We start from the raw sequence: 18251 nt of genomic DNA on the forward strand, positions 1-18251 counted from the left end.
TCTCAGTCATACTAGGATTTGCCTCTAAATTAATCTAAGCTTTGGTACAATGTCTGGCACCTAGTAAGCACTCAAGCACTCAAAAAAGGTCAATTATTCTTATTTTTTTTAACTTTCAGTTTAGGTTTGAGGGTACATGTGCAGGTTTGTTATATAGGTAAACTCGTGTCATGGCGGTTTGTTGTACAGATTATTTCATTATGCAGGTACTAAACCTAGTACCCAATAGTTATTTTTTCTGACCCTCTCCCTCCTCCCAAACTCCACCCTCAAGTAGGCCCTAGTGCCTATTGTTACCCTCTTTGTGTCCATGAATTCTCATCATTTAGCTCCCACTTATAAGTGAGAACACGCAGTATTTTGGTTTTCTGTTCCTGCATTAGTTTGCTGAGGATAATGGCCTCCAGCTCCATCCATGTTCCTGCAAAAGACATGATCTCACTCAAAAACATCAGTTATTATTATGTTAGTTTGAACATCTTATGTATATCAACAATAATATGCCCAGCTTTCAGCTCAAGATGAAGGAAACAGACCAATTTATGAACCTAAGCACAAGCCTGTGCAGAATTTATCTTTCAGATTACATATGCTGTAGAGTAAACACTTATTTAGAATTTTAATAAGTCAAAAAGAAAAACAGTGTGTGCAGTAAAGTGATGTAAGAATTAAGAATGCATTCTTTGCTAGCTTTCTTTCATCTGGTCCCTTGTGACTTTTAGGGGCTTTCTACTAGCAATTGGAATACAATCAGAAGAATTATTCCTTAGCACTTGCAGCATGGAGGGAGGGACCTAGCACAAGTGGGTGGAGGAGAACTGGCAATGATTTCCCCAGGTATATTCCCAGAGTGCAGATAATTCAAGAGGTAAAGCAATTCCTTTTTTAAAAAGGCACACATTGAATTATATAATATTTCTGTCACCCAGTGTAGGCTTAATTCTAAAGCAATTTGTTTTCTGATTCTGTCCTACAATATCCTACCAAAGAAAGAATTCTCTCACCAGTTGGGCGCTTATGATTGTCACAAAACTTAGTAAAAATGTGACTGTATATATTTTTTTAGAAGGAAAAGACAAGTGAAGAAGGTGATTCACTGAATTATAATAAATACCAGTAGTTTTGCCCATTATAAACCAGGAAATGTTTAATGCAGGGGAAATTGAAGCAAACCCGCCAAGACCTGAAATTGATGAGGATACTCAGACCACCTTGGAGGATTTCAGCCGAACAGCATCCGGAGGTGCATTTGTGGTATCACAAGTCCCAAGCCTTCCCTTGCCTGACCAATACCCACCAAGTCAAATCACAGACCTTGATGCCACAGTTCATGAGGATAAGATTATTCTTACATGGACAGCACCAGGAGATAATTTTGATGTTGGAAAAGGTAAGGATGAAGTGTCATGTGATTTTGACTTAAGTAAAAGGTGCTAATTGCAAAAACAGGGGTGTAAGGGTGGGTGGGGGGAGAATGGTTTTATATTGACAGCCTAGCAAAGTGTTAATTTTATAATCTGATATTTTTTAATCAATCAAATGACACATTTTAACGTGGTCCTACTTTTCATACAAAGAAGGTAGCAATTTGCAGAGCTTAAGACCAGAATTCAGCTTTTATTAAAAAATGAGTAAGGCTTTTGATCTATCTGCTTTGCATAACTAGACATTTTTGAGAATAAATAAAAAGGAATGAATATGCTATGCTGCAGTCTCTAAACTACATGTAACTTTTTTTTCTCAGTTCAACGTTATATCATAAGAATAAGTGCAAGTATTCTTGATCTAAGAGACAGTTTTGATGATGCTCTTCAAGTAAATACTACTGATCTGTCACCAAAGGAGGCCAACTCCAAGGAAAGCTTTGCATTTAAACCAGAAAATATCTCAGAAGAAAATGCAACCCACATATTTATTGCCATTAAAAGTATAGATAAAAGCAATTTGACATCAAAAGTATCCAACATTGCACAAGTAACTTTGTTTATCCCTCAAGCAAATCCTGATGACATTGATCCTACACCTACTCCTACTCCTACTCCTACTCCTGATAAAAGTCATAATTCTGGAGTTAATATTTCTACGCTGGTATTGTCTGTGATTGGGTCTGTTGTAATTGTTAACTTTATTTTAAGTACCACCATTTGAACCTTAACGAAGAAAAAAATCTTCAAGTAGACCTAGAAGAGAGTTTTAAAAAACAAAACAATGTAAGTAAAGGATATTTCTGAATCTTAAAATTCATCCCATGTGTGATCATAAACTCATAAAAATAATTTTAAGATGTCGGAAAAGGATACTTTGATTAAATAAAAACACTCATGGATATGTAAAAACTGTCAAGATTAAAATTTAATAGTTTCATTTATTTGTTATTTTATTTGTAAGAAATAGTGATGAACAAAGATCCTTTTTCATACTGATACCTGGTTGTATATTATTTGATGCAACAGTTTTCTGAAATGATATTTCAAATTGCATCAAGAAATTAAAATCATCTATCTGAGTAGTCAAAATACAAGTAAAGGAGAGCAAATAAACAACATTTGGAAAAAAATGAATTTGGTGTTGGTATTATTAAGTATAAATTGATGATCTCATATTCATCCAAAGCCTCCAACTGTACCCTACAATTGCCAAGGTTATGTTTACTACAGTTCATGGATATGGAGAAAACTAGAAAAAAAATCTAAATCAATTACCACCTGTCAAACTATAATTTTTCCTGATTTTATTTTGATATAAACATATATCTATCTCTTTTCATTTAAAAAGCCATACCTATCTGCATACTTTTTGTTTTATCATAGGAAAGAATTACTGAAACTACTATCTATTGCCCTTGTTTTCAGATAAAGAAAGCTAAATATTTTTAAAACAATATTTTCATTCATCTCTCAGGGTCACAACCGTATTGACTAATGAGATCACTTAAGGAGAAAATGTGGGTTGAAAGGAGTAGTTTTATATGGCAGACCATAGCCAGGTCAGCCAGAGGCCCTAATGATGTAAACAAAATGGAACACAGAGCATGTTACAATGGTGTAAGATGGTGCAGAAGGAACTTCCCCTCATAGGAGTAGGTAGACTTTGAGTCCAAGTTTACAAGCATACGGTTTCCTTGTACTTCCAATGGGTGGTTTTCTCATGTTTCACAGGAATTTTTATTACTATAACTCAGCATCCTGAGGAACTAGAGAGGACCTGAAGAACAGCATCCACTCATTTGCATTCTTATCTCAGGTAGCATTGTCAGGAATTCTTTGCTCTTTGGAAGTAAATGAAAATGAAAGCCATATAAGCTGAGTCCAGGGGTCACTTTTAACAATCTTCAAACATAGATCTTGACCTGGCATAAAGAATTTGGTGTGATTAGCAGGGCTGACAAAAAAGGCCTTGTAGTTTAAGTTGGAAGTAGTAAAGGAGCAAAGGAAGAGGAAGTAAGTGGGAGACTCCTGACTCTAGGAAGATTTGACTTCCTCTCAAAGCATGCAGAAGAAAATGTGCAGAGGAAAATGAGCTGCGCACTAGGGCATTTGGAGACTAAGCTGTTGAGGCAATGGGTCTATTGGCACTATTAGCTCCTCTAGCAGACTGGTACCTGTTTGGCCAGTTGCTAATGGCTAGGGATGTACAAGAGAAAATGCAGGAAAAACATTAATTGTAGAGCACCTGGCCTTTACCAAGAGGGGAATGAAGGCCTGAAATTCTATGTTGGCACCAGAAATATCATATATCAGTCAGATTTTCTTTATGTCCTTTCCACCCATTCACCCCATTACTCTGGAGGCAAAGCCTCCCAGCCTGGTTACTTCCCTCTCTGAGGTTCTAGTGCAATATCTAGGCTCAGGTGGGTCCCAGTAGTGGGCTCTCTCCTCCCAGGTCAAGCTCTGATTTCATTCTATTCCCAGGTCTGCATCAAGTAGTTATTTGTGAATTCTTAAGAATCAGAAAGATAACTAAATCATTACCATTGTTGTAGTCAATACAGGCTACATAATTTATGCTGCTCACTGAAAAATGAAAATAAGAGGCCTTTGCTTTAAAATTAGTAAGAATTTCAAGACACCAACAGCTAAACATTAAACCAAGTTCAGGGCCCTTCTAAGCAGAGCTCCAAGCAACTGCACAGATGGTATGTCCACAAAACCAGCCCTGGCTGTAGTCCAGGATAAACTAGCGATTGTACCTACAGTATGAAGTCTCTGTGTGGGTTGTCCATTACAACCACCTAGCAGCATTCATGGTCTAGTAGTTGATTTAGTTAATCATGAAAAAACTACCACATTTAGGAAGGTAAGTTTAGGCTCATTGCCTCTTGCAGGGAATCTGGCAACAGAAAATACACCTAAGATATTCCATTAAGGAAGAGAGGCAGCCCTGTATGGGAGAGGACTAACCCTCTACGGACCTCAGAGACTCGCATGTCTACAGGGTTCCTGAATAGAAAAAAACCTGTATCACTAGCTATCCAAGTCAGTGTTACTCCTTGGGGTGGGAAGTCTACAGTGTCACAAGCTAGGTCTGCCCAAGCTCTAGCACAGAGAGATGGTATGCATTCATAGTCACAGCTGCTCAGCTAGGACTGAGAGAACTACCTTTCCATGCTTCTATTCATGCCACTGAGATGGCTGCTGTCACAGGCCAGAGTGCCCCAGTACAGCATGTGTAAGTGTGGGGACCCAAACCACAGTGCCTGATGAACATTCACACCAGCATAAAATAGGACTAAAAGGAGTTCAACTCAAAGCAACACTGAAGTGATCCAGGCCTATTGCAGCCAAACAGAAAAGTATGGTAGCTAATCCCCAAAAATGTTTCCAAAGATCCACAATTCCAATTATTTGTAGCCTTATGTAGTTCTTTCTCACATTGGATGTCAGCTGGGTGAATGATGTACCTTAATTAACATAACACAGAAAAATGATAGATGTTTCCATTTTAGTGTTCTTGGGAACCCTGAACTACCATGTTAAAATACAGCTATGCTAATGGAGAGACCACTGGAGAGGTTCCAGGAATACATGCAGAATAAAAAGAGGACTAATTAACTCTCGCTGTTTCCCAGCCTCTAGATGACTCCATTTGCAGTCACCAGACTCTAAGCCTAACCAGCAAAAGAACCTCCCATTTAAGCCCAGACAACCAATAGAATCATAGAAAAAAGAAAATGATTGATGTTTTGAGCCACTAAGTTTTGGGATGGTTTGGTCCACAGTGCTAGATTACCCAAATAACCAATAACTGTACTGGTCAGTGTTCCATCAGGGAAACAGACCACCATGAGTATTACAGAGTAGGGAATTTATTTATTATAAGAATTAGGATGAGGAAGTAAAGCACTGAAGAAAGGAAATGGGAGATCAGAAAAAAAATCTAACAAGCCTCTTTGAAGTGCTGAAGTTTGTGTTGGGTGTTTAATGTCGGTATCCAGGCATGTCCAGGAACTGGAATGGGATCATGAAGGGGGCCACTGTAGAAGTCTGTGGAAGACTGTTAACTGTGCATAAAAAAACCTCTGTGGGTTTGTTGCCAAGAGTCTTGTGGTGGACCTAGGATCACTATCAGTCAGCAATGTCAGCATTCAGAAAGAAGAGTCAGAAATGGAGTAGAGAGGAGCAAGGATGCCGGCCCATCTGCACCTGTTTCCCACCGCCTTTTATCACTTCTCCTGCAAGCAGTTATGGCTGCTGTTTTACTTCTGCCTTCCACATTTCATGAAAATTATTTCTGACCAACTCTAACCCAGAATCATATGGTTTCTGAGAGATGTAGTTCCAATTTATCCAACTTGCCTCAGCAAAGCCACTATTATATTAAGTGAAATAAGCCAGACACAAAAAGACAAATACCATATGTTCTCATTTATATGTGAAATCTAAAAACATTGTACACATAGAAGCAGAGAGTAGAATGGTGGTTACCAGAGGCTGGGGTGGGAGGAAAAAATAAGTTTGAGAGACCTACTGTACATCATGGTGATTATAGTTAATAACAATATGCTCTATAATTGAAACTCACAAAAAGAATAGATTTTAACTGATCTAACCAAAAAAATTTTAAGAGCTAATGCATTAATTAAATAGCTTGAGTTATCCATTCCACAATGTATACATATACAGACATACCATGTTTTACTGGATTTCACTTTATTGTGCTTCACAGATACTGTGATTTTTACAAATTGACAATGACGATGCTAATGGAATTGGCCTCTGATGTTAGTAATTGCTACCCAGCGAAATAGAGGAACTCAGTAGAACACAGTTTGTTAAGGCGACTCAAAAAATTGTTTTTTCATGTTTATATCCTAGTGAATTGAGACTGTTCAATAAACTGCTTTCACAGCAGTTATACTCAATATCATCATCACTGCAAAAACTTCGTAAGTTTTTGAAAAACAAAAAACAGTGACAAACCCACTGCTATACAGACCTACTCTCTAGGCACCAAATTCCTAATTTGTCTTTCCACTTCCTTCCCTCTTATAGAGAACACTTTTGTTCACCTTACCATCATTCATTCTCCCTCCTTCCAGCAAATGTCTAGTCACTTCCTATGCTGAACTTCTTGGCAAGTCCTTGTCTTCCTCTCCAATCCTGTTCCTCTTACCATCGCCCTCTACTTTTCTGGTGCCCAGCATTGCTTGATCACTGGTGCCTTAGATAAGCCTGATTTCCCTAAAGTTCTGTCTTTTCCCTTCACATGACCATGAATATTATCTAGGGCTACCATATTACAGAACTCTAAAGGGATCCGTGCAAATCATACCTTGTATGAATGGTGCCCCTGGAGTTTCACAAGGCACAGTCTCTGCATCCTCATATGGCAGTCCTGCTCTTAGAGCTGACACATGAAAAAATAAGTATTCTTCGTAAATGATTCTATATTGTTCCATGAAACAGCAAGTTATTTTAAAGCCTTAGCATCTGTAATAGCATTTTAGTAAATATACCTGTTCAGATCATATTTGTTGCTAATTAATTATTTGATTTATCATCCCAATGCCCTGTTTTCTTTAATAATCTATGTGATGATCAGCAAATTAGTTCCTGATGCATTTGACCCCATGAGGAATGTAAGCAAAGCACTACATATTTTATGTCCTGCTGTCTGTCATCATGTGGTGTTTAGGAAATAGGAAGGTGTTTTAGAGGCATATGGAAAAGATTGAACAGTAGGAGTTTGGTGACATGAAAGTAGAACCATCACTTACTTTATCATTTGAAGTTCTATCTGGGCTTGGAACTAAAAACAATCAAAACTTTTTGCTTTTCTGCAAACATGCATCTATGTACAGCCTCTCAGATGTATTTAGAACCTTAATCAGGCTTCCTTTATAGAGCAAACCAGAACTCTCCAGACCCCAGAGAGCTCAGTGTCAGGAGATAATGCTATCTGAGGAAAGGAAGAAAGCCCACAATTGAGTATCTGTTGCTCCTTCAACTTCTGCTCCACCACCATGAACCTTCTCTCTCTCTCTCTCTCTTTCTCTGTCTGTCTCTGTCTCTCTCTCTCTGTCTCTCTCTCTCTCTCTCTCTCACACACACACACACACACACACACACACACAGAGAGAGAGAGTTTGAGCCAAGCAGGGAAATGTAGGTGGTTCAGAGCACTGTTTGGGTATAGGTTTGTCAATTTGGGTCGGGAAACAGTATAATTCTATAAAACTAAATTCATTCTCTTCACCTATACTTTCTTCCAAAATGTCCTATCTCAGTGAAAGAAAAGTATGTCACCAACCAGTTATTCAAACCAGAGACCAGGAGGCCATCTCTTGCTCTCCAATTTCTTCACCGTTTATGTCAAATCAGTGAATGAGTCTTGTTTGTGAAATCTGCTTAACCCTTATCTCTTCCCCACTCCTGTTCAGTGACTGCCTCAGTCAGCCTCCATCATCTTCTTCTGAAAAAGATGGTCCCTAATAGGTCTCTCTTTTCCGTCAATCCTTCCCAACCCATGTTCCCCACAGATTAATTTGAACAAAACCACAATAGTTCCCACACTGCTTTCAAGATAAGGTATAAATGCCACAAAGGCAGATACTTTGCCTGCTTTATTCATCACTTCTTGCCAGGCACCTTGCATGATGGCAAATATTTGTCAAATGAATGACTGTAAGGTTCATCATCATTTGGCCCTAGCTTCCACTTCCACATCTCTTATTACACCATCCCCACTGATCTCCCAGCTGTAATCAGTCAAAGATTTTGAGTTTCCCCAGAAGTGCACACAGTTTTATATTTCTGGGCCTTTGTCAGAAATGCCATACTTTACCATTCCTTCTTTTAATTCTTTACACCTTCTTCAGCCTCCCTTTCTGCCCCCTAACCACATTCCCCTTTTTCAAAATCCCATTTCTACTGCCTCCTGGTTCCCTCCCTCACACTCAGACAGAATAGAAAACTCCCCCATTTGTGTCCCATTCTTCATACAGAATTCTGACACCCAAATGTAGTTATTTGTTTACTATCTGACACAAGCCCTAACTCCTAATCCCTCTCAATTATACAGTGAACACTTTGGAAAATGGGGCTACATTCTGGGGAGACAGAGTAAAAAAGAGAGAAGAGGAAGGATGGAGTGCTGAATATTCTAATACACACATACTCATACAAATACAGAGATATCCCTATTCTTGCTTCTTTACTCTCTATATCCAGTCAGTCACCAAGTCTTGTCAATTCTTAATATCTCAAAAAACCCTCCACCTGTCTCTGTCCCTAGTTCATGCCCCCAGCATCTCTTACCTATATTCCCTACAAAACCCTTTTCCAAACAGCCATTGTGAACCATTGTGAAGGTTGAGCCCTGCCTGAAGACACTCAGCCATGGAGGGCAGGAGCGAGTGAGGCCTGAAATATAGTCCAAACTCAGCTCCCAGAATCAGGGCTGCAGGGGCACTACTGGATCATTAGTCTGCCCAGAGGTGGCACATTTTTCTAATTTACAAGTTGTTTTTCGAATTCACACAAGACATATATGCTAGTAATGCAAGCCTGTTTCCAACCACTATTCACTTTGCAGCCGAAGTCTTTCTAAAGTACAAATATGATCCTGTCGCACTCCTATTTAAAACCTTCTAATGACTTTCCTTTGCACTCAAGGTGATGTAACCACAGATCCAATTCAGTGTGGTTTAACTTTGTTAAACTTTGTGGTTTAAACTTTGGTTTAACAAAAGGACAATTTGCTTTGCAGTGCAACGGACCCCCAGGTTGCATATCATGTAACGTGAACAGGTCCAGATGAACCAAGTATGTCTGATTCGAGATCCCAGAGCCAGCAGAATAAAAAAGCCAACCGCAGGTGGAACCCAAGTACCATTTTCCTTCCCTTCCCATTGTTAGTCTCAGGCTATAAAACCTGCCCCCAGACCCCCACTTAGGGAGATGGATTTGAACTTGCCTCCTGTCTCCTTACCAGTTGATTCTCAATAAGGCTTTTTTCTTTACTTTTCTCAAAAGCCAGTGCCACAGTATTAGCTTCTATGAGCATCAGGCAACAAAACCATTGCTTGATTCCAGTGAGGTCCAAACCCTGTGGTATGATTAATGATGCTTTTCATCTTCCACATCCAGCTTATTTCTCCAGTTTCATGTCTCACAACTTCTCACATTACATACTGGTTCCATCCACCATGGACCACTTCTAGTTCTTTGAATACATTACAGGATCTGTCATTCCAAGGCTGTGAGGTGCTTTTCATTCTCTATAAATGCCCTCTTCTCCACTATCCCTCCACTTCCACATCCTGCAGTCACTGAATAACTCAGGCTCATTCTCAGGTCTTTGGAGTCACTCCTTCTGGGAAGCATCCCCTAATTCCTCCAACCTCCTGCCCCAGAGGGTTAAGCTCCTCTTACTTTCCCTAATTCTCACCCCTGAGTTTCACATTAACTCTCTGTGCCGCGTAACTGCCCATTTACTTGTCCTTTTTTCCCTCCAGAGGGTGAGATGCTTGAGGGCAGGAGACAAGCTCTTACTCATCATCATCTCCCCAATGCCCATCACCAAGTTCAATAAATGCTTATTAAATTAAAAAATGGAATCTTGTTTTCCCAAGCATCAGTTTTAATGAATCAATCACAGAGCTGACAAAAGGACCACAAAAAGGAACCACTAACAACTTTACTGTATGAGTTTAAGCAGAAAACATTATACCTATAGACAGGATTGCTGGGTCATTCCACTTAAATTAAGGCAAAAGTATCTTGAACTATATCCTCATTGTTACTGCAATAACTAACTTTGGTTTCACATTTCCTCTTAATCTCCCAATCAGCCTTTAGCCTCTATTTAGGTAAATTCAAATTTTACATGAATTTTCTTCTGCCTAATAGGTTCCTTCAGCACCAATTCCTCCAATGACCCCGATTATATCTGTCAAGGACATTAGTCTTTCAAATCAGTTTCAAAGATATCAAGGTCAGACTCATCCAAATGCACCTAAAAACTTACTTCACACTTGAGAAAAGCAGCCTTTTCCTATCCGGCTATATCAGCCAGTCACTCTTCCTATACTCCTACCTAAACATCAGCACTGATCTACCAGGTGCCTGCATTCAAACCCAGAAGTCATTTTTTCTTTGAAATTGATGTTCCCTCCACTTAATTATTAATTGCTGACTCTCTTTTTTCAGATATTCATTTATCTCTTCAGAGAGACCTTCTCTGTCAACCTAATCTTAAGCAACTCAGTCACCACCATATTTTTAAAAATCAAATTCTCTGTACAGCATTTAACGCTAGCTGATATTTTAAGTTTTAATGGAACATTAGAATGTTTATTGTTTATCTTCCCCACTGGAATATGGGTTCCATAAGAGCAGTGACCTGTTAGTTTTGCTCACTTCATGAACTAGAACTAGACCAGGCTATAATAAATGTGCAGTTAATAACTGTTGAATGAATGAAAAGATAATGGAAGAATGAACGAAATATTTTATCCATGCTGTCTTATATGGAGGCATAGAATCAGGCCAAGGAGAGTTATTTAAATTATTTGTTATATACTAGCTTGTTTATATCATTTTCTACCTTTTCCCTAGAGCTTCATACATGCAAACCTTGGCTTCTGTCATTTGCTAGATGAATTTTCACAAACCAAACACAACCATGTAACCAAAGTTGATTTCAAGAAAAGAACATTACCAGTATCCCAGATGCTCCCTTTCTGCTCTCTTCCAGTTATCACCTCCTATAAGAGATAATCGCAAGTTAAAGTCAAGTTATCTTGGCTTCTAACGGCAGAGATTGTTTTTGCCTGTTTACACACTTTAGAGAGGTGGAATCATATAGTACATATTCATTGGTGATTGGCTTTGTTTACTCAAATATGTATGTGAGATTCATCCACATTGCTGTGTGTAGTGGCATTCTGTTGATTCTCATTACAGTAGTGTACAACTTTTAAAGTTCAACACTCATTAACATATTAAAACATAAATTCATTTTTAATACTCATATATATAACAAAATTTATATAAGGAAATTTAGATTCACTTCAATTCTTTACTCTTTTAAAATAATGTTCTCTATGATGAACATTCTTATAGCAAAAAACTTTTTTTCAAGTTTTTAAATTCATATTGACAGCTTATTAACATGAAAGTATTAACAATTCATTTTATTATCAACTGTATGTGCCAGTATTTGCCTCCTAAATTTCTTCAGCAAATGTGGATATTACTGTCTTTTTAAAATTTGTGTCACTTGATAATTTAAAATATGATATTTTATTGCTCTTTTTATTTTAACTTCTTTACTTACTAATGAATGTGTGGTCTTCCATATGTTTATTGGCTGTCTTTGTTTATTTTATGAATGACCATTTACGTCTGATTCATCTTTTAAGTGGAGTATTCACCTTTTTTATTGATTGGTTGAGCAAAAGTTAATCTTTGATCTATTCAGGTTTCCAATGACTGGTTCCATTTTGATAATTTGTATTTGCCTAGAGAATTGTCCATTTTACTGAAGTTTCTTAATGAATGTGTAGCGGCATCTTGTGATTCTAATTTGCATTCTGCTAATGACTAATTCATTCAGACTTTAAAATGGATTAGCAACATTTTAAAATTCTGTTCTGAATCTGACATTAATTCTTGTGATTAAATTAGATCTTGTACACATAATTATTAGAAAAGCTTCAAGTGTTTACATATATACAGAATACATTCTGTGATCAAAAACTTTATTATTCATTTTCTTTCACTTAGAAAATAAAGTACGGATTAGAGAGCAATCTGACTTAAATGTGTCACTTTGCCCTTTTCATTTAGCTCATCCAAAGGACCATGCAAGCATTTTTGTGCCCACACTTTCTAACACCGTGAAAAGGAAGACTTTCTAACAGAGAACTGTGAAAAAAAAAAGACCTCTAATAGAGGTAGGAAAAGGAACGAGGTGTCAGGAAATGTCAGTGAAGGAGACAGACTGGTGGGACAAATAAAAAATGAAGAAGGCTTTGGAGCTTGAGACCAGGAAATGAGAATGTGGAATTATTAGAATGTTTTCCTAGAACATGAAACAAACAAAAAAAATTTACAAATAGTATTGTTGCTATTAAAATAAGCTTTTTAAAGTCCAGTTTTATTTACAAAATGGCATTGAACATAGAGGCAAGATTCTATTCTGCAAAATAAAGAATAAGATTTTAAAAATATATTATCATTGCATTTATTCTCAAGAGAGAAAATGGGTTTTAATTAGGATATATGTATGAAAATGAAGCCTCTTAAATACTGGAATGTATTACTTAGAGATCATGTGAAAAATTTTCTGAGGTTGTGATTGAAAAATTAAATCTGCTGGATGCAGTGGCTCACACCTGTAATCCCAGCACTTTGGAAGGCCAAGGCGGGCGGATCATGAGGTCAGGAGATCAAGACCATCCTGGCTAACACGGTTAAACCCTGTTTCTACCAAAACTACAAAAACAATTAGCCAGGTGTGGTGGCAGGTGCCTGTAGTCCCAGCTACTCGGGAGGTTGAGGCAGAAGAATGGCATGACCCCAGGAGATGGAGCTTGCAGTGAGCCAAGATCATGCCACTATACTCCAGCCTGGGCAATGGAGCAAGATTCTGTCTCAAAAAAAAAAAAAAAAAAAAAAGAAGAAGAAAAATTAAATCTGAGATGATTTAAAAGTGATTCGAGTTATAAGTGGAGGCTACAATGAGGGTGTTTTTCATTTTTCAAGTATAAATTTTAATTTTTCAGGTGAAGATGTTAAAGTTGTTTGGATAAGTGCTACTGGCAAAGTTGTTTTTTGTAATAGTTTTATAGAAAAATAAATATGTATCAATAAATGAATTAATAATCATTGATCCATGAATTCATTCATTGAAAATTTCACTATTTGCATTCAGCATGTAATCAGAAAGCATGTATTTAAATCTTAGAAGCAATGTTTATTAACTCTATGCCAGCTTTTTATTTAAATTTGTAAAGTAAGGAAAAAAACACTCATTTCATGGTATTTCGAGGATCAACATATAGATAACATATATAATTTCCTAGCATAGGACTGAGCAAATAGTAAATAAAAACATAAGTTATCCTTCCCAGTCTTCCTAACTGTAAAATTATGATAATACCTTTTTTTCAGAGTTGCCATGCAGAATACTGTGAAGTAGCTACTGTAATGTACAAGCACCTATCAAAATACCTGGCAGCTCAATAGTAAGAGTTCAATCATTCCTTCATTCTTTCCTGACTTTCTATCATTTAATTTCCGTATCAACAATATTTGCTGAGCATCTGCTATGTGCACTAGGTCCTGATCCATGAGGGTACATGAGGCAAATGTGATTCCTGCCCTCAAAGAATGTATAATCTTAGCTTGAGGGGAAGAAAGATTAATTAATTAATTAATTACAATTGATTGTAAGAGGAAGGAAGAAGCCTTCACTATGAATTCAGCTGACTTTTAACTCTGTCAATGCGGTGCTAGATACTGGGAATGCAAAAGTTAGGTGTATTTGCTTTAATTTGCTTTGAGAAATTGGCCCATTTACACATCTCAGTGACATTCTAATCCTGCCTCAGCCCCACCCATCATTTGTGTTCTATTGTTCATATATGGTTTTTATCCTTCTTGGCTTTCAGAAACAGGTGAAGGTCTGTTGATGACTATTTTGCTATAGCAATATTCACATTTCCAAAGTCTGAATGGTAAATGGTTAATTACTATAGTTCACGTATAAGGTTGCATTCATGGCAAATAGAATGTAACCCAATAAAAAGGAAATGATAATGTGTTAGGCCATTCTTGCATTGCTATAAAGAGATACCTGGGACTGGGTAATTTATAAGAAAAGAAGTTTAATTGGCTTACAGTTCTGCAGGCTGTTCGGGAAGCATAACACCAACATCTACTTCTAGGGAAACCTCAGGAAGCTTACAATCATGATAGAAGGCAATGGGGAGTAGGCATATCACATGGCAGGAGTGGGAGCAAGAAGGCAGGGAAGTGCCACACACTTTCACCGGATCTCATGAGAACTCACTCACTACCATGAGGACAGCACCAAGCCATGCAGGATCTGCCCCCATGACCGAATCAGCTCCCACCAGGCTCCACCTCCAACTCTGGGGATTACATTTCAACATGAGATTTGGCAGGGACATATATCCAAACTACATCATTTCACTCCTGTCTCCCCAAACCTCATGTCCTTCTCAAACTGCAAAATACAATCATGCTTTTCCAATAGTCCCCCAAAGCCCTAATTCATCCCAGAATTCACTCAAAAGTCACAAGTCCAAGTCCAAAGTCTCATCTGGAAATGAGTTTCTTCCACCTATGAGCCTTTAAAATCAAAACAAGTTATTTACTTCCATGATACAACGGCGATACAAGTATTGGAGAAACATTCCTGTTCCAAAAGGGACTAACTGGCCAAACAAAAGGGGCTACAGACCTCACACAAGTGTGAAACCCAGCAGGGCAGTCATTAAATCTTAAAGTTCCAAAATAATCTCCTTTGACTCCATGCCCCATATTGCAAGACACACTGCTGGTAGAGGTGGGCTACCAAGGCTTTGGGCAGCTCTGTTTTGTGGCTTTTCAAGGATCAGGATGTAAGTTGCTGGTGGCTCTATATTTCTAGGGTCTACAGTGCAGTTGCCCCCTTTCCACAGCTCTACTAGGCAATGCTTTGATTGAAACTGCCTTTGCAAAATTATGACTGAGACAGTCAAAGAGATCTAAGTTAATCAACTCCATCTTGCTTCTACCTCCAAGCTGTTCTTGTTCATTCTTGGGTGTAGCCCGAACTAACTTTGGGAGAAAATTAGTTTACAGTTTATAGGTTAAAACAAACACAATAACAGTCCTTTCACAAAGCAGACCTCCATCTTGCCTGGGGACTAGATTGCCTTTGTAGGACCAACATTAGCCACAAGATTAGAAATTACAGTTTAGTAGTCATGCAGCTGGAGGATACAATACTCTGACCCTTGCTAAACAGCTCCTGAGATCACGCACTTGAGGTATTTTGCAGAACCTGCATTTGATGGATCAGCTGGCACCACCCAGATTGATACTGGCTCATCTGATCTTGTGGACCCCACCCAGGAACTGATTCAGTGCAAGAAGATAGCTTAAACTCCATATGATTTCATCTGTAACCAATCAGCATTGCTGGTTCACCGGCTTTCACCCACCCACCAAGTTGTCCTAAAAAAATCTGCTCCCCAAATGCTTGAGGAGACTGATTTGAGTAATAATAAAACTCCAGACTCCTGCACAGCCAGTTCTGCGTGAATTACACTTTCTCTATTGCAATTCACTTGCCTTGATGAATTTGCTCTGTCTAGGCAGCAGGCATGGTGAACTCACTGGGCAGTTACAGAGTGGGGACACTATGTGGAGCCTTCAACCCCACATTTCCCCTCTGCACTGCCCTAGTATAGCTTTACTGTGAGGACCTCTCAGAGAAAATTGTCACAGAAAATTTCCTATGACCTCTCATAGAAAATGACAGGTCATAGAAAATGTCTCTCAGGCTTATGCAGCAGATTTCTGGCTGAGCACCCAGGCTTTCTCATACATCCTTTGAAATCTAGGTGGAAGCCTCCAAGCTTCCTTCACTCTTGCATTCTGTGCACCTACAGGCTTAAAACCACATGGAAGCTGTGAAGGATTATGGTTTGCACTCTTTGTAGTGGTAGCCCAAGGTGTACCTGGGTGCCTTTGAGCCATGGCTCCAGCTAGAGCAGCCATGATGTGAGCAACAGCCTCCTGGAGTAGCACAGGGCAGTGGCATCCCTGGTCTGTCCCCTGAAACCATTCAGTTCTTTTGGACCCCTGGGCCTGTGATGGGAGGGGCTGCCTCAGAGATCTTTTAAATGTCTTCCAGGCCTTTTTCCCATTGTCTTGGCTATTAGCACTTGGCTCTTTTTTAGTTATGCAAATTTCTCTAGCAAGTGGATGCTTCACAGCCTGCTTGAATTCCTCCCCTGAAAATGGGCTTCTCTTTTCTACCAAATGGCTAGGCTGCAAATTTTCCAAACTTATATGCTCTGCATCCCTCTTAAACATAAGTTTTGGCCAGGCACAGTGGCTCATGCCTGTGATCCTAGCACTTTGGGAGGCTGAGGCGAGCAGATTGCCTGAGCTCAGGAGTTCAAGACCAGCATGGGCAACATGATGAGACCCAGTCTCTACTAAAATACAAAAAATAATTAGCCAGGCATATTGGTTGGCACCTGTAGTCCCAGCTACTCAGGAGGCTAAGGCAGGAGAATTGCTTGAACCCGGGAGGTGGAAGTTGCAGTGAGCCAAGATCAAGCCACTGCACTACAGCCTTGGGCAACAAAGCAAGACTCTGTCTCAAAAAAAAAAAAAAAAATTTAGTTTTCAACTTTAAGTCATTTCTTTGCTCTCCCATCTAACCATAGGCGGTTAGAAGCAGCCAGGCCACTCCCTGAATGCTTTGCTGCTTAGAAATTTCTTCCACTAGGATACCTTAAGTCATCACAATTAAGCTTAAACTTCCACACATCCCCAGGGCATGAATACAATGCAGTCAAGTTCTTTGCTAAGGTATCACATGGGTGACCTTTGCTCCAGTTCCCAATAAGTTTCTCATTTTCATCTGAGACCTCATCAGCCTGGACTTCCCTGACTCTGTCACCATCAGCATTTTGGTCACAGTCATTTAACTAGTCTCTAAGAAGTTCCAAAGTTTCCCTCATCTTCCTGTCCTCATCTGAGCACTCCAAACTCTTCCACCCTCTGCCTGTTACCCCATTCCAAAATCCCTTTAACATTTTCAGGTATCTTTATAGCAAGGCCCACCTCCTTGGGACCAATTTGCGATATTAAGCCACTCTTATGTTGCTACAAAGAAATATCTGAGACTACGTAATTTATGAGAAGAGAGGTTTAATTGGCTCTCAGTTCTGCAGGCCTTACAGGATGCAGAGCACTGGCATCTGCTTCTAGGGAAGCCTCAGGAAGCTTACAATCATGGCAGAAAGTGAAGTGGGAGCAGGCATGTCACATGGCAGGAGTGGAAGCAAGGGGACAAGGAGGTGCCACATATGTTTAACAACCAGATCTCATGAGAACTCAGTATTATGAGGACAGCATCAAGCCATGGGGGATCCACCCACATGACCCAATCACCTCCCACCAGGCACCCCCAACAACAATATTGGGGATTACAATTCATGGCCTATGAGATTTGGCAGGGCCGTATATCCAAACTACACCCGTTAATAAGTCCTTCATCTGGCTACTGTCGTAGAAAATGTCTCTCAGGCTTATGCAGGTATAAAGCAGCCATTTACTTGCAGACATTTTTGGAACACTGTTTTCAGGCTTACCTGCTTATATAAACTTCCTTCTGGCTTACCTTAGACTTCCTCTTTCCTTCTAATGTGTGTACTTCCCATCGGTAAAGTCATTTCTTCAGGTTTAATTCAATAAGGCAAATATTTATTGAGCGTCTATTGTATGCATGTCCTCAGAAATAATGTTTTAAATGTTCCTGGCATGGGAACAAAGTTCTTAGCCATCTCATATTTGTCTATGAGAACAGACTTAATGTAATGTATTGGAGTATTCTCCTTGGATGAGCTATATCTGATTGGTAAAAACTCAGGACCCCAATTCACTCTGCCAAAAGGAAAAAACTTAAGCTGAAAGATGAATCATGCAAGAAACTGCCTTTCCATTTGTTACTAAGCAGATGGCTACAGATAAAATGTTAAATACCTCCACAGAGAGCTGCTT

At 39.0% G+C, this 18251-nt stretch overlaps 1 protein-coding gene and 1 long non-coding RNA gene across 4 annotated transcripts in view; one reads left to right on the forward strand and one right to left on the reverse strand.

Annotated features, from left to right (window-relative positions):
* The window catches only part of CLCA4 (chloride channel accessory 4), a 33677-nt gene extending 31120 nt beyond the window's left edge, over positions 1-2557 (forward strand). For all 3 annotated transcript variants that reach the window (NR_024602.2, NM_012128.4, XM_011541015.3), the window contains 2 exons: positions 1157-1390; positions 1745-2557. Coding sequence is in view for 2 of the 3 variants with exons in the window: in NM_012128.4 (NP_036260.2) it covers positions 1157-1390; positions 1745-2148 (638 nt within the window). In the remaining variant the exon portion in view is untranslated. The remainder of the gene's footprint in view (positions 1-1156; positions 1391-1744) is intronic.
* The window catches only part of CLCA4-AS1 (CLCA4 antisense RNA 1), a 133313-nt gene that overhangs the window by 7017 nt on the left and 108045 nt on the right, over positions 1-18251 (reverse strand). The window lies entirely within an intron of this gene.

The sequence above is a fragment of the Homo sapiens genome, chromosome 1 (assembly GCF_000001405.40).
Source record: "Homo sapiens chromosome 1, GRCh38.p14 Primary Assembly".
NCBI classification, from domain to species: Eukaryota; Metazoa; Chordata; class Mammalia; order Primates; family Hominidae; genus Homo; species Homo sapiens.